Source organism: Homo sapiens, chromosome 12 (assembly GCF_000001405.40).
Source record: "Homo sapiens chromosome 12, GRCh38.p14 Primary Assembly".
Classification (NCBI taxonomy): domain Eukaryota; kingdom Metazoa; phylum Chordata; class Mammalia; order Primates; family Hominidae; genus Homo; species Homo sapiens.
This window is the reverse complement of record NC_000012.12, coordinates 125,643,810-125,670,609: the sequence shown is the minus strand read 5'-3', so window position 1 is coordinate 125,670,609 and position 26,800 is coordinate 125,643,810. Positions and strand designations below refer to the sequence as shown.

Genomic DNA, 26,800 nt, shown 5'->3' with positions numbered 1-26,800 from the left:
ATAGTTCCAATTAACTATATCTTTTTTGTTTTTATACTTGTATCAGTTCTGAAAGAAGAGTATTGAAATCTTCCACCATAGAGATAGATTTTTCTAAATTTTCATTTAGTTCTGTTATTTTTTGCTTATTATTTTGAGGCTCTACTTTTAGGTGCACTGCCATTTAGGATTTTCATGTCTTCTTGATAAATTGACTGCAGTGTTATTGTTGTTGTGATGATGCTGATGATGATGTAATTCATCTTTGATCATATTCTGTTTTAGTATGCTTTATCTGATACTTAACCTAGCCATTCTGGGTCTTTTGTGATTTGTTTTGCATATACCTTTACCCAAATTTTTACTTTTAACCTCTTTATATATAAAGAGGTTATATATATATATATAACCTCTTGTAGATTACATGTGATTGGGTCTTCCTTTTGGTCTAGTCTGACAGTACTGATATGTTGAATTTGAGTCTACCATCTTGTTTTTTCTTTCTATTTGTCATCTGTTCTTTTTCACTTTTTCATTCCTTCCTGAATACCTTTATAGCAAGTATAACTTGACACTGCAATTTATCTCCTCTACTGCCTTATTAGCGATATCTCTCCACTTTTAGTCTTTTCCTAGATAACTATTTATCACTTTCTACCATGAATTAATATTGATCACTTCATGTATAATGTAAAACCTTAGCAGTGTACCTCAATTTAATCCTTCTTGTGCTTTGCGTTATTACTTTACATATATGTGTATGTATATATGAATAAAAATATATATACACACACATATATGTGTGTGTGTATGTCTGCCTGTGTGTGTGTGTATCCATGAAAGGGGCCTAATAGTAAGCTTGAATTGACAGAAGAAAGAATCAGTGAACAAGAAAGATTGATAGAGATTATGCATCCAAAGAATATAAAGAACATGGAGGAAAAAAAGAACAAAGAAAAATGAACAAGTCCCTGAGAATTGTGGGAAACCATTCAATACACCAATATATGGAAAAGGGGGGTACAAAAAGGAGGGAAAAGACAGAAAGAAACAATAAATTTTTTTAAGTAATGGCTAAAAATGTCCTAAACTTGATGAAAAACATTATCTATTCATCCAGGAAGCTCAACACAGTCCAAATTGAGTAAATTCAAAGAGATATACATTAAGACATAATAATAACAATGTTGGAAGTCAGAGAAAATCCTGAAAGTAGAAAAAGAAAAACAACTCATCACACACAAGGAAATCATAACAAGATTAATAGTTGCCTTTGCATCAGAAACAATGGAGGCCAGAAGGCAGTGGAATAACATATTCAAAATGATGGAAGATCAAAACTATCAACCAAAAGTCCTATAGCTAGAAAAATTATTTTTCAAAAAGGAAAACTAAAGATACTCCCAGATAAACTAACACTGAGAGAATTCGTTGCTAGCAGACTTTTCTTATAAGAAATACTAAAAGAAGTTCTTCAGGCTGAAAGTAAGTGACCCCAGACAGTAATTCAAATACACACACACATACACACAAATGGCACTGGCAAAGACAGTAATGTAATTATAAAACATTGTAGAGATACTAGTGCCATTTGCGTGTGTGTGTGTGTGTGTGTGTGTGTGTGTGTGTGTGTGTTTGAATTATTGTCTAGGATGAGTTCATATCTTTTTCAGGGACATGGATGAAGCTGGAAACCATCATTCTCAGGAAACTATCACAAGATCAGAAAACCAAACACCACATGTTCTCACTCATAAGTGGGAGTTGAACAATGAGAACACATGGACACAGGGAGGGGAACATCACACACTGGGGCATGTCGGGGGGTTGGAGGCCAGAGGACAGATAACATTAGGAGAAATACCTAATGTAGGTGGTGGGTTGATGGGTGCAGCAAACCACCATGGCACGTGTATACCTATGTAACCAAACAGCATGTTCTGCATATGTAACCCAGAACTTAAAGTATAATTTTAAAAACCATACTATCAGTGCATATCCCATCTATCTTAACTGATTTTAAAAAGCAATTGTATAACACAACATAAATATATTTGAATTGTTGGTCCTATAATGTATTTAAATGCAATATACTTGAGAAAGACAGCATAAATAAAATGACAAGGAGCAAAGCTGTGTGTGCATAATGAAATAACATCACATATTTACTCAAGTCCACCAGAACAAAGAGAATCAGAATGACAAATAAGAAGCTTAATATAACAAATTCTATAAATATATACTTTATCTCCTCTCTGCTCTCAGCTTCTTTAATAGACATAAATGATATATTTAAAGTAATAATTATAACTATAAATAATTGTATTTGTAACATATATGGTGTACCTTGTATAACAATAATACCACAGGAAAAGGGGGTTGATATAGAGCTATGTAGGAATAATGCTTCTATATCTCCCTGGAATTAAGTTAGTACAAATCTGAAGTTAAGACATAGATGGCAAGCTCAAGTACAACCACTCAAAAATAACTCAACAAATAGTGAAAAATCTATTAAAATGTTACATTGGAAAATGTTTCTTAATGCAAAAAAGTACAATAGAAATACAGGAATAAAAATGTCATGAGATATTTTTATGGCAGAAATAAGTCCAGCTCCATCAATCGTAACATTAAATGTGGATGGATTAAACATTCCAATAAAAATCAGAGATTGTAAAATGTATTTTTTAAAAGATTCAACTATGTGCTATCTACACATTTTAGACCCAGAGATACAAATAGATTGAAAGTAAAAGAATGGAGAAAGATATGTCATGCAAACAGCAACTACAAAGAAGCTGAAGTGGTTGTACTAACATCAGACAAAATCAACGTTCAATTTTTAAAAACGTTATTAGAGGTAAAGATATAAAAGTGCTAAAATAATAAAAAGGCCACACCACCACAAAGATATAACAATAATGACTATATATGCATACCTAATAACAGAGCCCCAAAATATATGAAGCAAAATTGGACAGCATCAGGGAGATAATTCAACAATACTAGTTGAAGATATCTATTATATCCGTCACTGTAAAAGTGTTAGCTAGAAGGAATAAGAGGTGCTGGCTTCCCAGCATTCCATCTTTCCCCCAAAGAACAGCACTGAGCAAGGGTCAGCTGGATACAATGCAGAAGAAGAAATTACCTTACTGCCAAGGAGCCCTGAACAAAAGGCTCCTGCCTCTTTATGAAACTGAGCTGTGGAAAGGCAGAAAACAAAGTACTGAGTCTAAACCATTAAATAGAGACTTACCATATGACCCAGCAATCCTACTCCTAGATATATACCCAAGAGAAGCGAAAACATATGTCCACACAAGAATATGTATATGAATATTTGTCACAAACAACTCATGCCCAGCAAGCGATGGGTAGAGAAATAAAATGTGGGGTATCCGTGTAATGGAAGATTTCTTTGCCCTAAAAAGGAATAAAGTACTGATATATGCTATAAGTTGGATCAATTTTGAAATCAGTATGCTAAGTGAAAGAAGTTTGGCACAAAATACACAAATTTTGTGATTCTATTCATATGAGATGTTCGGAAAAAAATGCAAATCTACAGATACAGAAAACAAATTTGTGGCTTTCTAGACCTAGTGGGTTGAGGAAAATGGACTGACTGCTATCAAGTACAGGGTTTCTTTTAGGCAAAATGAACATATTCTAAAATTGATTGTGGTAAAGATATGAATATACTAAAAGCTACAGAAGTCTATACTTTCAATTGTTTTGTATGCGAAGTGTATCTCCATATGCCTGTTAACAAATGAAAGGTGAACTCAATCTCCTACACACACGTGTGGGTGTGGGTGCAGGACGTATGTGGGAAATCTCTGAACCTCCAGCTCAATTTTGCTATAAATCAAAAAGTGCTCTAAAAAATAAGGTCTAATTAGAAAAACAAAGTAAACCCAAGCAAAAGTAGCTGATTTTGATTTTCTAGTGTGAATGTCTCATTAGTGTTTGGGCTGATACAAGACAGATTAGTTCTTGTAAAAAAATGTATTTTTATAAAAGCATTTAGCTTATTTACCTTACTTAGCCTCAAAAGGGCTCACAGTTTCTCGAACTGAGCAGGTACCTGCCTTCCTGCCCCACTCGTCACTCTTGGATGGGTTTTGTGGTTTGTGTTGAATCCCAAAGCTTTACTGATTCCAGGTATGTATTTAAGCACAGCAAATAATCCGTAGGATCAAACAGTTGTTCTAAAATCACTCAATATCCACCTCCTCTCCATTCTCCCATCCTCTCTCTCCATGGGTACTTTCATTTCCTAAAAACACTGCTGAAACTAAAAATAAAGTAGAATTTGAATTTTTAGCAATCTTGACAGAACACTCTACAGGAGCATTCCCCAAAGTGTGCAATGCAGTCCATGAGGATTTAAATAGGTTTAGACGAAAATAAGCAAATAACAAATCTAATTAATAAATAATTAATTTAAATGGGGAAAATGAAAAAGAAAATAAAAGTGGGTAACGTATAGAAAATTCAGAGTTAAGGAATGCTTAAAATGTTTTTTTTCACAGCCATATTTCTCAAAGTCTTAAATATGGCCTGAAAATCTTCATGGGAGAAGATTAAAAAGCATTCCCAAAAACAGAATGTGTTCACAGAATTATATTTTTTAGTGATTTGTTTCTTTTTTTCATCATCTAATCTGGCCAAGCTTAGTTATAACACCCTTGGAGAAATATCATGCTAAAGAGTTCACTACAGTGTGACCCAAACATATTTTACTTCAAATCTGCCTACTCAGTTCACGTGCTCCATCAACACCTTTAAACTCTTTTTTCCCCCCATTTAAGAACTGAACAGAATTCAGGACATGTTCCCAGGCACCCATCTCCTAGATGATCATACACTCTTTGGAGTAAGAAACACCTTAACACCTCAGACCCAAATCTAGAGCCCTGTACATGGCTGATATGCTGTAGGTTTGTTTTTCAAATATAACTCAGGTCACCTCTCCTTCCTGCTGGTGGCCTGCTCACCCCCTTCCCAGAGGAATCACAATACAAAGTCTGAGCTCCACAGCGAGGTTCCCTGACTCAGCCAGGCTCTAATGAGCTCCTGTCCCTTACATTTCAAGAACATGGAACTCCATACCTCTGTGTGTGCTGCTTCCTTAGCCTGGGATATGATTTTGACTTTTATCTGACCATAAAGAATTTATACCCAATCACTACTGCCAGAATTCTCTCTTCCTCAAAGTATCAGCTCACTGCAGTCATGGGTTTTCATTGCCCCTTTGCCAGATCCATAAACCTGGTAATAAGGTAGATGTTTTTTACCTTTTATTGTCACATTAATCAAATTAGTGGTTATTTTGGATCATTATTTCCCATTTCATATGAAAGTGTTCCTCTCATCATGAAAAACAAGCTGTTTTCCTGTTTTGCCCTATAATTTTATGTTAAGTAAAGCATATTGGTGGTTTTAAAATCTAGAATATTGAAGACTTGGGTAATGTGAGGTTTTTAAAAAGTATTTCACTTCTCATACTCTTATTTCAACCACATAATCGTTGTTATAAATAGATAAAATAAAGTGAACAGCGCCCTTGGTTCCATAATTTACCAATAGGTCTCCTATTTCCTGTGCCTTCTCCAAACACACTTCTCATCACCAGGATGAAGACAACATCAGGTGATTCCTGGAACCAGAGCGATCTCTCAGGGCCGCTGCAGACCCCACATATGCTCTTCCATCTGAAGGTTCCACTACAAGGCATATCTAACGTTTATGGTAAAACCACATGTAAATATGAAATGCATTTCTTTGGTAAAATTATTGTTTTGCCTATGAAATTATCTGGTTTTAAATACTCTTTATCATTTTCAATAGGCTACAATTTATTGGTATTCACTGTAAGCATTTGAAAATTCTTGGAAAGTTAGGAAGTCCCACCATGGATTGTTTTCAAACGTCATGAAAATTTCATGGGTTCTAAACTTAGCAGTGATGAAGTTGGCATAATATTAAGTCTTGTAGGCATTTAAACATAATCTGCAGTCATTTTAGGTTTGGTAGTTTCCCCTTTGCATTTGAGAGTCTGGATATGGAGTTGGAACTGCCACAGGGCTGACAGAGGTCTCCAAACATCAGAACTCGATTTCAGATCATGTAAGGAAAGACAGGAAGTTTAGAGGCTCCTTGAGAAGAAGAGAAAGGTTAGGACCAAAGAGCTCTTTAGTTTATAGATCCTCCAGGTACAGCAGCTTCAGACTTGCAGCAGTTATTTCATCATGCTCCCTAGATGAGCTTTAAGGGCTAACATTTCCTAATTAAATAGGAAGGAACCCTCCCAAGGACAGATGTGACTCATATAAAGTGACAATGATGAACAATAACATGCTCCCTGAATTGGCTCTTGGTTAACATCGCTTTCCCAATTTTTCCTCCTTCATCTCTGATCACCTTCTCAATAGACACAGAAAGGGACACTAGTCATCCAGTTAACAGACACCATAATGTATAAAAATCCAAATATACATTCTTTTTTTTTCCTCACTCTGTCCCCCAGGCTGGAGTACAATGGCGTGATCTCGGCTCACTGCAACCTCTGCCTACCGGGTTCCAGTGATTCTCCTGCCTCAGCCTCCTGAGTAGCTGGGACTACAGGCGTGCTCCACCACACCTGGCTAATTTCTGCGTTTTTAGTACAGACAGGGTTTCACTAAACATGTTGGCCAGGCTGGTCTCGAACTCCTGACCTCAAGTCATCTTCCTGCCTCGGCCTCCCAAAATGCTGGGATTACAGGCATGAGCCATCACGCCCGGCCCTAATATGCATTCTTATTCCTGCTGAAAAGGGCACTGGAAGGCTCCTAGGTCATAGAAGGTCTTTGAGATTTTGTGAAATAAAGTAAAAAACACTGAAATTGGAAATATAAGCTCCCCCCTGCTTTGTATGAAAAAAAAACTATTAATATTAGGTAATGTCAATGTCAGTATTGTCATTAATCTTGCAGGTTTAAAACAAGAATACCTGAATATACAATGTACAAGTTCATGCTAACAATTTTTAGGACAAGTATTATTTAAATATTTAGAATACTAAAAGATCAATTTTCAACAGCATTGACCCATAATAATCTGTAGCACCAAGCAAGGTTCTCTATTATGTGTAGCTCAAGCCAAGTTTGTGTCCAATCCACCATGGAAACTCACCTGTAGATTAACTGTGCGCCAAGGTGGCGTCAGAGGTCTTGGAGATGCTGCCTTCTTGAGTTCTGTTTTACATCGTTGTTTAAAGGAAGTGTCAAGGCATCGAAGAAATGGTTGTATTTCAGCCATATTCTGTTTATAAAGTTATTGCCCTTTGCATGAAGGGAAGGGATTTCTGTAAACAACTCTTTATGTCTAGAGTAGTGCTGACCATGCTATTGGTTAAGAAACTGCCACAGACCCATGTAACTATCACAGGGAGCATGGATGTTGGCTTAAGACTGCCATGGTTATCTGAGAAAGCCAACGTGACACTGTCATGGGCGGGTATTTGCATTTCTAAAGCTGAATTCTAAGAGATTTTAGTTAGCAATGGCAGACTTTAGTTCAGGCAACATAGCCATTAAAGCCAATTGTCTGGAGAGGGTAGAGGTATGGCATGGTAGAGGTCCTTTGCCTGGTTAATATTTGCAGAGCAGTGGAGACTCAACACATTGAAATATTTTAGTTGTTATGGAGTTAAATGTAACACATCCCAAGACTATGAACATGAACTGGAATTTTTGGTGCCTGAATGAGCTTTCCTGCCACTCAGACCTCATAAATACTTTCCTGCCACTTCAAACTTCTCCCTACAGGCAGAGACATATCTGAATAAAGCTTTTTCTCTCGTTAAAACTCAACTTCGTCAGCTTTAAAGAAAAATTGACTTTTCTTCCCCTTTTCCAAGAGCTGAGTTTGCATGTCTTAGCTATAGACATTCATGGGGCACCACTGTCTTCTTTCTGGATGGTCCCTTCCTAATGTAGACAAGGGCCCAACATGATGTTTTGCCAAAGTATTTTCTTTGGGGCTCAAGAGCCAGCCCATTTCTCTGGGAATCTTGCCCTTATGCTTAAATAAGCCATTGTTTTCCTTTATTCTCAAGGTCTCAGCCCATAACTGCCATCAAGAACCTGAAGACATAGCTTCCTCTATGCCAGACTTAAGGACATCTAAATATCTACCTCTGAACACCTATTTGAAGAAAAGATTATTTCCTGGAACCTACCAATTAATTGTTTTACTATAACAAGGAATCATCCAACATGTTTTATTTCTTCGTTTTCAAAATGTTTGGAAGTGCCTTTACAGAGACATTAAATATACGGTGGAACATACACAACAGATCATACTGAAACCATAGGTAATATAATGAGATAGATACATTATACAAAAAGGTATATAGAAGCACAATGTCATAACAGCATGCTCTGTTTATAATATCTGGTGTTTACCAGGGAACAAGAATCCAATTCAGAAATGTGGAAAGTAAGGGATAACACCTTTTCAAATGCCAGACAAAACTTGTCCCCACTGTTTGCTGCCTTGCAATCACCCCAAAGCACACTACTGGCTGGGCTGTGTAGGTTTGGCCACTCACTATGTTCTGCAGCTGAGATCCGGTCCACCTGCCTGAGAAGAGTCTGAGGCTGGGAACTGATACCTAAGATGCACATTTCAATTTTGAGACAACAGCATGCCCTGTAGACACACATTAAACATGAGCAGTATTGTAAAAATTATTTGCCATGGGAAGACACACACTACCTCCCTCTAAGAGCACGGGTCTGTTGCATGATACACGCTATGTGGATGTGACTATCTTTCAGTGTTTTATAGCCACTTATTTTTCCCTAGGTTTGATCATTTCCTTATGACTTAATTCTCCACTCTCAGCCTTTCATAGTTATGGTGTTTGCTTATGCCCACAAATAATGTGTGGGGAATACCTAGAAGACCCCTGTAATGGAGGTTGGACAATTGGTTTTGTTCTTGGAATCCACACTGAATGCCCTTGCTAGAAGTCCAAAATAAGGGTCACAGCAGAGGATAACTACAGAAAGGAAGTCACTTGGCAATCAAGTCCCTCCATGGGCCAGTTCATCTTTGGGCATGTGAACTGGTGGCTCTGGGGTAATTCACTGCACTGCAGCAACTGAGATGGCAATATGTCCGATGGACATTTCCAGGTGTGCCCGATGGAAACGGTCACCAACCAGATTAATGAAATGAGAAGGCTGAGTGCCTGGGCCAGTGTGCTTATCAGTGCCAGATGTGTGCTCCTTCTCAGCCTGTAATATTCATGGAAATGGAAAATGCTTCTACTATGTGGGAAATACATGGATAAAACAGAGATCCTAAAGCGGTTATGATGGAGGAAAAAGGCACGCTCTTTGAGGAAGCATCTCTAAGTGAAATAACTATATCATATGGTCAGTGTTGACACTGGCATTCTGTTATTTCATTCAGAAAGTCAAATTCTTACAAAGGAGATAACAATAACGTGGCAGACTATTTCAGCTCCAGCCTTACAATGGGAAACAGAAAGTCTCACTTGCTTTTTTGGCCACAGGAAGTACAGAAAGATGTGTCAGGTCAAAAGTTATTTCAGCCATCCCAAAGAAGTAATATTTCCAAACAGGTTTGAAAAAAATCAGCATTACATAGACCCCAAATCCCAAAGCGGCATCCATCTCTCTGTAAAGTGCTTTACTCCAATGGGCAATGTAGATGTATAGAGAGGTCTTCTATCCTCTCAGTTCCTGCAGCATCTAAAGAGACTCCCGTGAGACTCTTGTCGTTAACATGAAATTACAATGTTTCATTTGAACAACTGACCAAGAGCAGCATTAAATCCAAAGAAATTTTAAAGGCATCTCATAGAATATGAAGATTGTCCAATATTGTAAGTTGATAACATTATTGCTTGCTTGGACTGGGAAGATAATTTCCCTAATGAACTTGAACTGTTATTTCTTATCTGGAAAATGATGGTGTCCTAGTTGTCTTGAGTCATAGAATAGTCTATAAACACAGTAACCCAGATGAAAATGTTTCTGCGCTTTTTTTTTGTATTTTTAAAAATTTCTAAAAGCAAACAACAAAAAAACTTCAGAACCTATCTCAATTGTATAAAACCATAAAGAAACTAACAGGCATTAAGGATTTCAATACCAAAAAATTTCAAATGCCGTGTTTACATTTTGCACTCACACACAAAACCTAAAGTGTTCATTCTTTTACAAATCTTACTTCAAACTTTCTTTTATCCTTCTTTTTTTGAAACACATTTTACTAAACTCTATATATGCATGCACGCTGAGATCTGGGGAGAACTGGTTAAGTTCTTTTTGTTTTTCTTGTTTTGTTTCTGTTTGAGACAAAGTCTCGCTCTTGTTGCCCAGGCCAGAGTGCAGTGGTACGATCTTGGCTCACTACAACCTTCACCTCTCAGGTTCAAGTGATTCTCCTGCCTCAGCCTCCAGAGTAGCTGGGACTACAGGCATGCACCACCACGACTGGATAATTTTTGTATTTTTAGTAGAGACAGGGTTTCACCATGTTGCCCAGGCTGGTCTCAAACTCCTGACTTCAGGTGATCTGCCCACCTGGGCCTCCCAAAGGGCTGGACCAGTTGAGTTCTGTGTCAGTGCTCCCATGTTCCCAGGGAAAAGACAAGGAGGAAGCTGTTAGTGCAAAACAGTTACCCAAAGTGCTGAGAAGCAATTCTGATGGGGCTGGGGTTTTGCACCTGGGAGCACATTTTTGGCTCTTTTGCTGCCAATAGTTTAGAGGCAGGAAATCCTGCCTCAGTTTCACAAAGCCAACTCCTGTGTTTACACCCAGTTACCTGAATGATGTCTGAAGGGCCTGGAGAAAGACTAGGTTTGGTATTGGGCATTTATTATGACACGTCAAATTATCGCCAAAGAGGCATCCCTATTCATCCTAAAAGCAAGGAGTAGCATTTGCCAGCATGCCAAAAATGACTCTGCAGTTTCAAGAAATACACACACACCAACAGAGAGCCTCTAGCCCCTCTAGGCACTTGGCAAGTGTACCACCCATCTTTCAGCTGAAACATCTACTTCAGCCTCTCAAAAAGAATCCCCGCCTGTCCTGTGGTTTTCTTAGGTCTCTAGAGCTCTGCCTGTTCTGGAAAGCTCAGCACCCTGGGCCCAGTACAAAGCCCCTGCCCCAGATACATATACAAGACCAAGCCATTGACGAGCAAAGACCAAAGGGTGGACAGAGGTCAAAGGCTCTCAAACACCCGCAGCATCATGCATTTCAGCACTGACTTTCAACATGGTTTGACCCTGGACGGGGCCATGAGAAACAGGAGATCTTTTTCTGAGACATCTGGAGAGAAGCTTTCCCCAGCCTACTAGGATAACAAATAAGAAATGTTTTCAAGGTAAAATACGTTGGCAACTTTTAAGAAATGTTTTCTTTTGATGTCCATTTATTACTGCATCAAGGGTATTAAAATCTCTGGCTGAAAAGAAAAAATAAATCTATATTATAGCCAACCATACAGCTGCTTTATGGAACATGCAGATAAAATAATGAAACAACTGAAGAATGTTTAAATGTTTATTTTCATGTTAAAAACGATGTGTTACCCTGTGGTTAGAATATACTTTTATGCTGAAAAATGAAGTCACTTTATTTCCGAAATATTTCCAGAAAAAAAGAAAAGAAAAAAATCCAAAAGTCAAGAAGAATAAGATGAAAATGTTCTGGCAGATTCCATCATCAATCCCAACATAAGCCACAGCCTTTCTAGGCCAGAATTCCAAATTCAGTGCATTTCATGATGTTACTAGGTCTCAAATGTTTTTCCCACTATCAGTTTAGATATTTTTGAGTGGGATGTCTGTACATTTAAAAGCTACGATTTTGCATGCTTTCACTTTAAAAAACTCGGTGTTTCATTATATTGCCTATATTACATACAAAAATATCTGCAATCCATATTTTAGCATAACTTTTCCACCATCCATACCGTCCCTTTACATGACAGGTGATATGCATTACATCACACATATATAATTTTAATAAAAGGTGAGGGCTGCTGAGTCTATAAACCATCTATTGTGTCATTTACAGAGAATGAAATGGAAAATTGAGACCATTTTTAGGTAACTCGAGTAGAAAACACACTGGTGTCCCTGACTTGTAGGGTTCAGATGAAACCACGCTCTGTGGTCCTTGCTGTGAGACTGAACAGTTCCCTCACAGAGCCTTAATAATAGTTCTCTGACAGGGCCCCGACATCCCAGTAATGGGAAGACCCCTTTCTAAAATAATGAAACAAGAATGCTACCAAAATGCACAAAGGTGGACATTCTAAAAGTTAGCAAGTTAAAAATTACTTAGTCTACAGATGTGGCAATGGGACAAAAATTAATCAACTTTCCCCCTGCATGACTTTATAAATAGAAACTTCCGTCTACATAGTCAGGATTATTATAGTCTGGGAATTTATCCTGGCCAGTGTGCAATATATAACAGCTAGAAAGACAATTATTCCTTCTCTTGGGACACATGGAGTATTCTGAGGTTTGCTAGGTGTTGTTTTTCCAGGGTAACCTTCTATTGTCTTTTCTTCTTGCCTTCTCTCAAATGCAACACACCTGTGTGTTTAAGCATCAGTTCTTTGGTGTGGCAGCTGCTTCTTGATTCCTGTGCTCTGCCCTCTACTGCAGCACATCTGGACCCTGGAGGCAGCGGTTGCAATCCTCAATGGTTCCAGGTCATACGCTGGTCGTCTAGCATCTGAACCTCCCTTCATGTGACCACAGAGTTCACTGTCTGGTGCCTTCTCAAGAGGCTTGCTGGTGTCTCCCTCAGCAGGAGTCTGAGCATTCCATTCCCATGGGAGAGGAAGGGACTTTATAAATGTTTGGTTCAGGTTGTTTATCAAGACTAATAATTTGGGTCTATCAGCCATAAAATCCTGGAAAATCCAGGCAAATGCATGGTCCCCAGAAAATTAGATTTCATGGCTTAATAGTTTATATCTTTACCCCCATTTTAGATATTTTGGGGCACAGCACCTAATAGTTGTATATTGACTAGCTGGAAAACAAGGTGCTATAACCCATGGTTTATGATCTTCAGGAAATATTTAGAGGAGGAAATACTTTAATGACATTATTTCATGAGAAATAGTATCCATGCCAAATCTGAGAACAATTGACAGTCACTGTTGATTCTTACTAAATAGTTTGTTGTCTGGCTCTTCAGTATTCACACACACACACACACACACACACACACACACGGGTATATGTATGTATATGCGTTTATATACATCTGGGTGTGGGTTATATGGTGGAAGGAACCCTTCCCCCATGGCCTTCCATTTGATTGTTATTTTGAACTGACTGGGTTTTAACACAGAGGAGCAAAGGCGGCTACACAGGAGCTGTGTGACTCCCAGTGACTCTAAGTTGTCACAAGAAGCATCTTCAGGACTGTGGCCAGTTTCCAGCCCTGCTGAGAAACCACTGGCATGTTTGAACGCTCCCCAGTTTGTTCCCTGCACCCCGTCAAGCACTGCCATCAGAGGGAATGCTCTAATTTTTATGTTCCTGAATAACACTCCCCATGGCAGGGATAATTTCCTTCACCTCCTCCCCAGTTACACCCCCTACCCAACGTCTCACTTTACCAGTGGGCAGGACCCTGCTGTATGTGTGTAAGAGATTTCCTCCCCGTTTCAGCGGAGGTTCATCATTTTCAGAAATGAATTCCCAGTCTTTCTGGAATGCCAGAGATCCAAAGGGAGAGACGATTGAAAAGCCTCATAGAAGGAGCCGACTCACCTGGATAGCTATGTGTCAATCAGCACATGAGCTTTCTTCGGTCCTGGATGGTTGGCTCTGAGCTACCTCTGCACCAAACTCTTTGAAAAGCTTTTGGCTGACTGAGGAATCTTCCCATAAAGTGTCAGCCATCTCTCTGCAAGCTCCTTTTGCAGCTAATGCCTGGCTCTCCTTGCTTCCTTATCCCATCAAACTGAACTACTTTTGGAACTTCATCAGCTTCGGTTCCTAAGCCCCATTTTATACAACTAACTGAACGCTGGGCTCTGGAGGTCAGGCCTACATCACTTGCAATTTCAGCACTGTTCCCAAACACACTACAGTCCTGTGGGCCAGAGATACAGGAAGAACTTTTTGGCTGCCACGTCATGGCTAGAGGAGGCGGGGTTGTCATGTTCCCACCCAAGGAAATCTATAATAAGAGAACAACTGAACGCCTCTCCTTGGATTAGCTCAGTTATCAGCCATTTGGAGTCAGGGCACTGCTTCAGGTGACCCCCTGCAGATCCTTCCTACTTTGGGCCTTTAAAATCATATTTCTTAGAGATGCAAATGGCTCAGTAAAGCTCATAATGAGGCATACTAGTCCAGTGTCTACATTTCCAATAATACAATCTTAATAAATATGTCATCACATTTTGCTAATCTGAAATTTTTGCCTTAAGACCATTCATGATGCTATTAAAATAACATTTTTATTTAAACATTATGCAGGAGTTGTTTCTTTTTTTCTCTTGCCGTTTTAATTTTTCAATAGCTGTGGTTTTTAATTTTTTTTTCTATAATAGCTGCTTCTTGAGTTCTGGAATAGTCATTTATTTGTATGGATTTTGGGGGGAAACCCACTGCTTCTCTCCACAAATGCACACCCTTGTCAATGTTTTATCTCTGCCAAAGTCATGATTGAGTTTTATTTATTTATTTATTTTGGTCATTGTATGGATGGATTTCTATATATTGCTAACTTGAACTGTCATTCTACTTATTTAAAAAAAAAAAAACTTTTGTTCTGGTAAAATGGAAAGTGTAATCTGCATCTATTGCCTAGGCAATTTCCTTTCTGTGTAGGTCAATTCTACTTTAAGACTTCAGTTTGGATAGTAAATTGTGTTGGCCACAAAGCACTTGTATAAATACAGCTATGTTGGGGCCTTTTTACCCTCAGAAATGCACTCCAGGAGTTCCCCATGAGTTTTCAACAAGCAGAGAATAAAAATAAATGTTTGTGATTGACAACTTTTTTCCAAATGTTTGAAACTTCACATAGAAAACAGTAAAGAGATGGCCCTCCCTCACTGTATATTAACATTTTAAGTAAAACCCTTTGTCCCAGTGTTATACAAGAAAGTTCAACAACAAAAGGAAGGAAAAAACAAAGTGAGAATAAGCTTCTTGGATACCATCCCTAGATGATGAAGTGCAGAAAACTGGAAAAACCTGACATCCTGCATGGAGACCCAGGAAATAACATGGCATGGCAAATCCCAGGGAAGAAAACTCATGTGTAAATCAAACAGAGCTCAAGGAAAAGACTGAAATTTCTTCTCTTCATGTTTCAAAAAGAATTCCAGAGGTCAAAGGAACAGGTGCAGGTGCAAATGTATATAAAAATAATGAGCAGCGCTCATGACAAATCAGGATAGCTACATTCAGTCATCTTTCATGTATGTCTAAACTCAGGCCAAGGGGCAATAAGTGTCCACTGTGCTTTAAAAGGTCTAGAAATAGAAAAATCAACACCCAAATCTTTTCTAATTCCACATGGCCATTTGTCACGAGATGACTAACAATGTCTGTGGGGTCAGGTTTAATACATTTGCACTGAGCTCGTACCAGGCAGTCCATAAAACTGTTGTCTTAGAATTTCTCCAGTCCCCACATGTGGCTGTTTTAGAGGCATTTCCAAACTTAAAACCCAGCTTCTATAGCTCTCCAAACCTCTTTTACCTGCTTAGAAATGAATCCCACCAGACCTCCACAAATCAAACTTTGTTAAATCATCCCCTATTGCTGATCAAACTCACTGCTCCAGCATTCAAAAAACAGAAGGCATAAAGGTGAATACAAACATAAGAAAGGAGTTTACATCTGGTCTTGCAGACTTTCCATATAGTCTCTAAAGTCCTGTGAATCCCCCAGCCCCATATCTTGGCAGACCCACTTGATGTTATCATCGCTGTCAAACAGGATGGAGTTGGTGTATGGGCCGCCGTCCTCTGGGAGGATGGTGGTGTAGGAAGTGAACTTGACTCTCTTCCTCTTTGGGCCCGAAGAATTCATAGGTTCATTTTTAATTTCTTTCTCATAGACATAGTCAGAGGGTCTGAGTAGTTGACTATGAAAAGTCTTCTGGGAACTGCCATTCAGAAGGAAGTTCCTCTCCTCGAACTGCAGGCCCCTGTCTATCATGGTTGTGCACTCCTCTGATGGGAGTGTAATGTCAACAGGGTTCTCCAAAAGTTCCACTTCATTCCCAAGCCAGACCCAGTCGTGGGAATGGGGGATGTTGCCCTGCTCACTCACAGCAAACCTTTTGTGTCTGTATTTCCAGGCAAACGCCACGCAGTTGATCAAGAAGACCAGAATGGCCAGACAGAAGACGCAGAGCAAGGCATACATGCCAATCTCCAAGTCCGTTAGCCCCCTTGAGGTCACTGTGAGGTCACTAGGATTATTGGGGTCCGGTGACTTCCCTTGAGTGGGGAAGCTTGTAAAGGCATCTGGACCACCACTTTTGAGTAACTTATTCTTCCCTTCCATGGGAGACTGGGGGGTTGTGCTTTTGTTGGTACTTTCCTCTTGGCCAACAGGTGTGCCACGGTGGAACCATTCCTGGACTGCTCTCTCCTGGTTTCCTTCGCGCTCTATGGAATTACTGAGGTGGTCTTTATATTCCCGATTTATGCCCTCAATATCATTGCTGCCTCCTTGGTGCTCATCACTACTTGGTTCGAATTTGACCTTGACATTTCCTTTACCCACGGCAAGAACACTCTTCCTCTTGGTCTTCTGACAAGGTTCACTTATCATCATTTCTAACTTAATCAAAGGCCCTTGTCCTTCACCCTCTGCAACCACAATTGGCCATTTGGACTCAAGGTTTGCCTGGACAGACACCACCATTTCATCCAATGATGAGACAGTAACAGAATAATCCTTAGGATCGTAAATGTCTAAAGGTGTCACCGAACCATCACTGAACAAAATCCAAGAACTTACTATTGCTTCCTGAGGAAAATGAAACCAAAGCATTATGTTATAATCAGATTCCTTCACATTTGAAAACATAAGTATAATTTCCTATATAAATTGTTTAAATATAAGGAGAAGATTTCTATAGTTTTATAATCTTGAACAGTTCTTGTTATGCCTTGAACTGGTTGAACCGGCATCAATAATGTGCTGTAGCCTCACTGGTACAAGGAATAAATAATATACTTTAATGACTGCATTAAACTATAAATTAATTTATTGCATACATACAATAGAATTTGACTTTGACCTTTTTAAAAACATTTTGAAAGATCAGGCAATTTATCTGAATCAATTTCAGGTGCAACAAATCAGGCTACTGCTCAAGATAATATCACTTTGAACACTCTTCATTAAGAAGCCAGTGGTGATGGAGCAAAACATGCACTGGCTGGAAGGACTCGGGAAGGTGCATTGTGAGGCTGGCTGGCTTGAATGGTACAGTGGCTCTGGTATCTTTAGAAATAATTTATAGAAGTTTAGAGATGGGAGGACGTTTTAGAGTTGACCATACTTATTGTAAACAGTAGCAATTTGGTGCCTGTTAGCCATGCTTAAGTAGCTGAAATGGAATTTCCAAGTATCAAAAACCACCTGCTTTGGCAAAAGTGAAAACACGTGATCCTTTGGTCATGGTCTAGCAGCAGGCTGTGCCTGTCACAGATAAGCCCAGGGGAAAGCAAATGGCGTATAAGGATGTGGTCAGCGTGGAAAAGCACATAAGAGGAAATGTGTCTAAGCCACTGAATACTTTTCTCAGAGACAGGGTGGCCTGGATAAGAAGCAAGAAGCTTCAAGAATCCCCAGTCCTAGGCGTGAGGGCTCTCCTGCTCTCCTTCGCAGGATGTGCTAACTGAGAGAGAAGTCATCCCCACTGACCAAGGACGCAGGGCCCCTGGAACGCTCACCTGCTGTGGGGACTGAAGAACATCCAGGGCAGCAGCTGTGGAGACGATGGCCCTTTTGTCTGCTCGGTGTGGCTGCAGGGAGAGAGACATGCCAGCTACGAGCTGCACTCCCAGCTCCGCGATGGTGACTCGGTCATCCAGGACAATCACCGTCTTCTCAGCCAGGATGGAGTCAGACAACGGCGAGAGGACCTGAAAAGTCAGCGAGGAGACTCATGCATCTCTGCTCCTCATGAGCACCATGAATCCCTTAACTGGGGCTCCCAACAAAGTGCTCTCCCAGCCCTTGGCTCAATGCATGCATTTGTGGGAATCGGTTAGGGAAGTATTATGCCGTTGTTCAATCACACTTCACAATTACAGGAGTTTTATAAAGATCATCTTGGTCTATTTACTTTCCTCTGATTTATGTCATGATAACAGCAGTATATTTTCTGAAAGAATCTTGATTTAACTTACAGGCAATAATAAAAAACTGTCCATTGATATTAGGTACTCAAAGAGCAACATTTTCCCAACAACTAATATTTAGAATGGCACAGCTGGCCTTAAAACAGGGCAGGCATCCTGTATTACTTAGGTGGACCCAATGTAATCACATGAGTCCTTAAAAGCAGAGACCTTTTCCTGGCTAGGGGCAGAAGGGGAAGCCAGAGATTCACAGTGTGAGAAGGACTCCATCCAGCCATTACTGAAGGCGGAAGGGACCACGTGACAAGGAATACAGGTGGCCTTGCAGCAGAGTGACCCCTGGTGACCCCTGGCTGACAGAGTGCAAGGAAACAGGGACTTTGGTCAGTCCTAAAATCACAGAGAACTAAGTTCTGCCAACAGCCTGAAGGAGCTTGGAAGCCAAGCCTTTCCCCAAACTCCCAGATAAGAGCCCAGGCCAGCCGAGACCTGGAGTTCAGCCTCATGGTGCCCTGAGCACAGAATACAGCAGGCCCACACAGATGCCTGACCTGCAGAAATATTAGCTGACTAACGGGTGTTTTTTAAGCTGCTAGTTTGTGGTAATTTGTCACACAAGAATAGAAAACACAGAACATACCATGTTTCATCCAGCTTTGCCAAAAATATAGCTTTGGCTACAATAAAATCTGACTTAGTTAACTCTGAGCGGAAACATTTTAAGTTTGTATAAAGAAATATTCTGCACCATTTCTGCATAATTATCCTGTCAAATTGGCTAGAAAATAATTTAACTATCACTGTGATAAAGAATAGCTACGGATTATTATATTTTTAAAAACTTTTGTCTACTGTACAAGGTATGATACAACTAAAAGGTTAAAATTCAAGGTTAGGAGGAAAAACACTAGCTTTCAGCAGTATAACCACCTTCTATTGGTGATACACAAAATGGAGAATATGATGTTGGGGAAAAGATTATTTACACTACATGTTTCATTTAGCCTTCTTGGTAAAAGGGATTAGATATTTTTCTAAAGCCTCTAAAATACAAAAATTAATCTGAGTTTAGGTTATTAAAATTGGTGAATGCTCTATTGCTTCCCAGGATTCTCTTACAAACAAACAGAGGCAATACATGCACAGTGACACACGTTGATATACATGTCCACATGCACATGTGCACACAGACACACATCTGCACAACAGCATCTACCTGGCCACTCATCAACACAGACTGCTGTTGGGCAAGGCATGGCGGCGTGTACCTGCACCGTGGTTATTCCCGGCTCCCGACCAGCCAGGGTCCTGCCGTCCTGTAACTGAGCGATTTTCGGCTCCTCCACCTTCATGAACTCGGTCACAAGGTCAGTGATGTCAAACTGCCAGTCGGGGCCCAGCATGTAGGTCAGCTGCCCTAAGTCAGGTGACTCGGCCACAAACTGGGTGAGGACACGCACTGTGGCGTGCTGGTACTGCAGGGAGCAGCCTCGTCCCTTCTTCTCCTCATCGTCCTCGTCATCGCTTTCCCGGGTAGGCCTGGAGCACAAGGAATCGAAACAGAACAAAGTCTTCATTGTTAAGAAGTTCTGCATGCCCTTGTTTTTCAGATTCTAGGTGAGCCCACAGAATGAAATGAAATGGTCCTTCTCCTGCAGGACCTGCTCAGCCATCTATCCACTCCCAGTTCATTCACTCATTCCACAAGCACACTTTGATGAGGATGATGTGCTTTCTGCTTGCAACAAGAATGGCAAGGGCAGCTCCTGCCTTCCTGACCCAGACAGAGGCTGAGGCTCTGGTCTTGGCGTCCTGGAAACTGGTAATTTTAAAATCATTCCCCTGTGGGATGGAGGAACCTAAGATATGAGTCAGAACTGCTGTTTGGATTCATTTTGACCCCTCCCATTGGACCTCATGCCAAGTTCTCTACCCTCTCACAGGCTCAGCTACCTCCCCTTGGAAATGAACATAGGAACAGCTGGCCCCTTTCCTCTCTCATAGTACCACATGAGGACCAAGTAGGTCAAGATATGATGACACCTCAGAAATGGCCCTTTAGGAACCCCAGACCAACCAGGAACCATCAGCAGTGGACGGTTCTAACACCCGACCTCCTCATCAGCTGAGGTCCTTGAGTCTGTACAGAAAGAAGCAACTTCCTGAGCTTATGGCCCTAAAGTTTGCCAAAGGATCCTCTCCTTCCACCATCCTACCCTAATCTAAAATCACTGCTCTGTGAGCAAACCTGCTCAAGCTACTGCTAAAACATCTGAAATGTGTCTCTCCTGTTGCCCATCCTGGCTTCTCCCTTCCTTCCTTATGGCTCTGACCCTTCCTCTCTCCCTGGCACCTGTTATCCTCTAACCTCCACCTGTCCACAATCCACCCTGAGAAAGTCTCTCTGGCTCTGCAATTCCAGAACGTTCCCCTCAAGAAGTAGCAGTCCTGTGTCCCTTTATGAGAGTGCTTTGTTTGGTGACTACTGACCAGTCTGTGCCCTCAGTGCCTGGGGATTCTGTCAGGGGAGAAGGGGGGAAGGGGAGTGACTCATGCATGCTGAATTAGACCTACTGTGTGTCTTCTTCCACGTGCTTACATAATGATGAGAGCGGACATCCATCGCCCACGCAGCACACAACAGCCGTGCATATTTAATTCATGTAATCTTCACACACCCCCAAAGAGCAAGGTTGAATTATTTCCCTGATCTTACCAATGAGGAAACCAAGACATGGTTTGTGCGGCCACTCAGCCAGGGCCACACAGCTGGTTGTCTCCCGAGGCAGGGCCCACACAGCCAGACCAGCTGCCCCATCATGTGTGTCCTCTTCCTTTCTATAGCTAAGTCCATTCATCTTCACAACAGCTATGAAACATGTTCTTATTTTTGCATAAAGAAACCAGGCTCAGAGTGGTGAATATGTAGCCCAGATAGCTGGCAATTAGCAGGTCTGGATACAGCTCCATTTGACTTCTGAAACCCACCTTCTTTACTATATGACATTCCGCCTCCCTGAAAGGTCTGAGAACCATTTATAAAATGGTAGAAAAATTTTCACCAGCACAATAGCATAACAATTTTGGTTTCCCAAAGTAAGAAATGAGTATCTCCGTGAGTAAGAGAGATGGTGTTAGGTGGCAAAGAAACATAGCATTCAATTAAAAAAATTGAATAACATACTGAAAAGTTATTCCCATTTTATTTTCCAGTCCTTCTGAATATGTCACAGGGAATGTCTCTGTTCTGTGCTAGGATGTCTTTAAAGCTTCTCGGAACTAACTACTTTCCTTTAGTTAATAAAGACAAGCTCACATAGGCAGGCAATAGTGTCTACTCAGAATTTAACAACATTGTTTAATTTTCTTTGCAATAATTTTAGGTTAAATTTATTTTATGATAAATGACACTAGTTGACCATTTGTGCTAGCAATGGGAAGTTTCCTTTAAATTAATGGGTAAAATTTAAGAAGAACACCACTAGGCTTGTGTTTCACTAAAATGTGGCAGTATCATAACAATGGTCAATGAATACATCAGATGTTATAAATCCTGTAGTAATGAAACAAAATAATCCTGTTATTTTAGGATAGATTGTATCCTATTCATTTATTTAAACTTTTAATTTCAAAATAATTAGAAATTCACTAAAAGCTAAAACAACAACAACAACAGAAAAAAAAAAAAAAACAGGAGATCTTATACACTCTTTATGCAATTCCCTGAAGTTAGCATCTTCCTAACTATAGGAAAATATCAAAACCAGGAAATTGGCAATGGTATACATAGAGCTTATTAACATACAAGCATAACTTATTACAGTCTAATGATACCAAAGCTTTGCTACTTTGAGTGTAGATACCTTAGTTCCCTGTAAGTCCCATTACCCTGACCGCTTTTAACCCAAATGTCCAACAATGATAGACTGGATTAAGAAAATGTGGCACATATACACCATGGAATACTATGCAGCCATAAAAAAGGATGAGTTCATGTCCTTTGTAGGGACATGGATGAAATTGGAAACCATCATTCTCAGTAAACTATCGCAAGAATAAAAAACCGAACACCGCATATTCTCACTCATAGGTGGGAATTGAACAATGAGATCACATGGTCACAGGAAGGGGAATATCACACTCTGGGGACTGTGATGGGGTGGGGGGAGGGGGGAGGGGTAGCATTGGGAGATATACCTAATGCTAGATGACGAGTTAGTGGGTGCAGCACACCAGCATGGCACATGTATACATATGTAACTAACCTGCGCAATGTGCACATGTACCCTAAAACTTAAAGTATAATTAAAAAAAAAAAAAAAAAGGATACAATTGTTTTAAGTATGTTTTTCTGTCTATCCTAAGTACCACATCACATAATGTCATAATTTTCCCTTTGAATACCAAACATGATGTAAAAAATTGATGCGAAGGAAAGTCTATCCTATTTAACAGTGTTTTTACTCATTCTATCATTCTTCTTTCCTTTCTGAAGTTCCAAATCCTTTTCCATTATAATTTTTTCTGTTCCATTAGCCACCCTTTAAAGGTAGGTCTCCTGAAACAAACTCTCCAACTTTTGTTCATTTAAGAATGTCTTTATTCTCGTTTCATTCCTAAAGGATACTTTTGCCAGGTAAAGAATTTGAGGCTGACAGTTCCTTTCTTTTAGCGCCTGAAAAATGTGCCAAATCCTTCTGGCCTCCGTGGTTTCAGGCAAGAAATTCATTGCCATTCAAATTGGTATAACCTCTCTCTGGATGTTTTTAAGACTGTCTTTGTCTTTAATTTTCAGAAGTTTAATTACTATGTGTCTTCACATGGATTTCTTTGGGTTTATCATGTTTGTGGTTTCCCAAGCTTTTTGAAACTATGTGTTTATGTCTCTTGACAAATTGGAGAGGTTTTCAGCCATTATTTCTGCAAATACTGTTTGAGCCCGACACCTTTTCTCCTCTTGTTCTCGGATTCTAATTACGGGAATCCTAGATCTTTTGTTATGGTCCCACAAGTCCCTGATGCTCCGTTCCCTTTTTCCCCCAAGACTATTTTCTCTGTTATTGAGATTAAGTAAATTGCATTGTCTGTCCTCAGGTTCATTGATTTTATCCTCTGTCATCTCCACTGTACTGCCGAGCCTATTGAGGGCTTTTGTTCTCCCTCTTTCCTATATTTTCTATAATTTACATCTGGTTCTTTTTTATAAGTTATATTTCCTTGCTGAGATATTTTCCATTTTAATTGGTTCCAAGGCTATTTGTAATTTCCTACTGAAAGCTTTTCTTTTTTCCTTTGGTATGGCTGCTTTAAAATCCTTGTCAGATATTCTAACATCTGATTTATCTGGGCACTGCCATCAGTTGATCATCTTTTCTCATTCAAGTTGTGGTTTATCTAATTCTTGGTATGACAAATGAATTTTTTCAGTTATATTCTGGACGTTCTGTATATTATGACAGGAAACCCTGGGTGCAGCTGAAATCTATTGTAGTTAAATTTGCTTTGTTTTAGTGCATATGTCCTAGCCTACTTTTGTGCACTTAAGTTCTAATGAAAATTTGGCTTGAGAGCCCTCAGGTGCTATTCTGGTCTGTTTTGTTCCCCTGGCACTGTGGATTCCCACAGTGAAGCAGGAATCCCACTTGAATCCCTCTGGGTTTGCCCATAGGAGACGAGGGCACTTCCCTGGGCTGGGTGGAGGCTGGAAGATGTCAGGCAGGCAGGGCAGTATCACTTCCCCCAGCGGCCCTTCAAGTTTCAGCAAGGGTTTTCGAGATCCACCTTGGCCTTTTGTTTAAAGCACACTTTTCTGACAATGAATCTCTTAAAATTTATTCATCATTTGCTGTCTGGAAATACTGAAAATTTCAACATCATCAGGTCCCTGTTTCTTTTTGTCTCATAGCCCTTCCAAAATTTTCTCTATCCTCTTGCATTCTGCTATTAGCAGCAAGATGAATCCAAGTGCACATTCAGTAGTTTGCCTGGACTTCTCCTCAGCTAACTATCTGACCTCACTTGCTTTCCACACACCTGCAGGGAACAACCTTGCTAAGCACTCTGTCACCACCTAACCAGAATCCATGCTCCTCACCTCCCCCTGAACCCTCACTGGCAGCGTTTTTGAAGTTCAGATTTCTACTTCCCATTTGTCCACAATGATCTCGGCTTTCTGTAAGGTGACTTGGGATTTCTCTACAATGATCCTCATGCATCATGCACAATGTCTTTAACACCCACGTTTCTACTAACAATCTGTTCAAGGCAGTTGAGGCTTTTTCCATGATGCTCCTCAAAATCTTCCAGCCTCCACTCACTGCCTGATGCCAAAGGCACGCTCACATTTGAGGTATGAGTTACGGCTACATTCCACCCCTGGGCAACAGGCTCTGTATTAGTTTTCTATTGCTGCATGACAAATGACCACAAACTTCATGGTTTAAAGCAATGCCCACACCAACACACTCACAGTTCTGCAAGCCAGTAATCCAGGCAGGCTCAACTTAAGTCTCTACACAGAGATTCACAAGTTCAATATTAAGGCGTCAGCTGGGCTGGTCTCTTATCTGGAAGTGCTAAGGAAGAATCCACTTCTAAGATCAGCCAGGTTGTTGACAGAATTCTGTTCCTAAGGTTATAGAACTGAGGCCCTATTTCCTGGCTGGTTGTCATTTGGAGGCTGCTCTCAGCTACTAAAGATTACCCACATTCCTCAGCAAGTGGCTCAATCCACCTTCAAAGCCAGCAGTACATCATCACGTTGTTCTCATCCTCAAATCTTCCCAACTTCCCCTTCTGCTACCAGTTGGCAGGAACTCTCTGCTTGCAGAGGGCTTATCTGTTGGGTCCCACCACCTGGCTAATCTCTGTATTTTAAGGTCCATTGATTTGGGATTGTAGTTACATCTGTAAAATCCCCTCCCAGCACTACCAGATTAGGGTTTGAAGAAGCAGGAGATGGGGATCATGGGGAGGGAGACTTTTTTTTTTTTTTTTTTTTTTTTGAGACGGAGTCTCGCTCTGTCACCCAGGCTGGAGTGCAGTGGCAAGATCTCGGCTCACTGCAAGCTCCGCCTCCCGGGTTCAGGCCATTCTCCTGCCTCAGCTTCCCGAGTAGCTGGGACTATAGGCGCCCACCACCACGCCCAGCTATTTTTTTTGGATTTTTAGTAGAGACAGGCTTTCACCATGTTAGCCAGGATGGTGTCGATCTCCAGACCTCGTGATCCGCCTGCCTTGGCCTCCCAAAGTGCTGGGATTACAGGCGAGAGTCGTCTTTAGAACTGTCTACTATAGTATGTATCCATTCACTGAGTTCTGGGGACAACCCTTCAGTAATGTTATCATCCCTAATTGATAGATGAGGAAACTGAGAAAGAGATAGGTTAAATCACATGTCCAATGTCACACAGGTACAAGTTGTAAAGCTGGGGTTAAAATTCAGGCAAAAAAAGGAAGAGTCTTGCCCGGCGCGGGATGGTGGTGGGGAACAACTCAGGCAGCCTTATCCCACAGCCCACGGTCTTAACCACTGTACTGTGCTCCATGGAGGAAGGCTGACATTTACAAGCAGGGGAACTGAGAGTGAATAACATAGGAATGAACAATAAAGAAGTGAGTAAGGAATAGAAAATAGCTATGTCCTAAATGCCACATCTTGTGCTAGGTGCTTGTTATGTATTGCATTCGTTTTACTGAATCCTAGCAACTATTCTATGAGGTTGTTACTATTATTATTATTATCATCTTCATTATAATTTCCTCATGTCAAGGTGCTAGTAAGTACTCAAGTCAGATCCATCTGAACCCAAAGCCCAGACCACGCTTCCCGCTGTGGATGTTGCTTCCCAATGGCTTGAGTCCCTGAGGGCCAGTTTGCCTCCCACAAAGATCTGGACTCCAGGACAATCGGATCCACAGCCTTCTCTTTGATTCCTCACCTTCTGTTGGCAGCAACCGGGATCCTCCAGCCCTTGATCTGGCTCAGCTCGGTGTCTGAGATCTCAATCTGCAGGGGGAGCCTGGGTGCCCAGACAGTGACCTCGAACTGGGAGGTGAAGTGCTGGTGGGTGAAGTTCACAATCGTGTCCACTTTGCTCTTCATTTCCTTCCCATTCACAAAAATGGAATCACAGTTGTTGGAAACCTTTGGGAAGGAGGTAGAACCTTGAGATGCATCAGTAGGAAAAGCACAAGGAAAAAACAACAACAGTGAAAGTTCATGAACTGCAGCAGCTCTGATTTATTAGACACCAAAACAACCCAATGAACAGAACTTGTACAAAAGGTAATTTGTAGGCACTAATTAGTGACAAACACTGACAAATAGACTCCAGGAAAACTATTTTGTATTACAAAATACTGACAAGTAAAACCATTAACATAATTTAATGGAGTTATATAACCTCTGTT

General features: G+C 40.5%; 1 protein-coding gene across 11 annotated transcripts in view; it reads right to left on the bottom strand.

The window, feature by feature from the left end:
• Positions 1–8,232: 8,232 nt before the first annotated feature.
• Positions 8,233–26,800, bottom strand: part of TMEM132B (transmembrane protein 132B) — a 475,992-nt gene continuing 457,424 nt past the window's right edge. For 9 of the 11 annotated variants that reach the window (XM_047428243.1, XM_047428241.1, XM_047428240.1 and 6 more), the window contains 4 exons: positions 26,329–26,534; positions 19,657–19,927; positions 17,978–18,169; positions 8,233–17,045 (listed from right to left, as the gene is read on the bottom strand). In XM_047428243.1, coding sequence (XP_047284199.1) covers positions 15,900–17,045; positions 17,978–18,169; positions 19,657–19,927; positions 26,329–26,534 — 1,815 coding nt within the window. In that variant the 3' untranslated portion in view covers positions 8,233–15,899. The remainder of the gene's footprint in view (positions 17,046–17,977; positions 18,170–19,656; positions 19,928–26,328; positions 26,535–26,800) is intronic. The other 2 variants (NM_001366854.1, NM_001286219.2) reach the window with 1 other exon arrangement.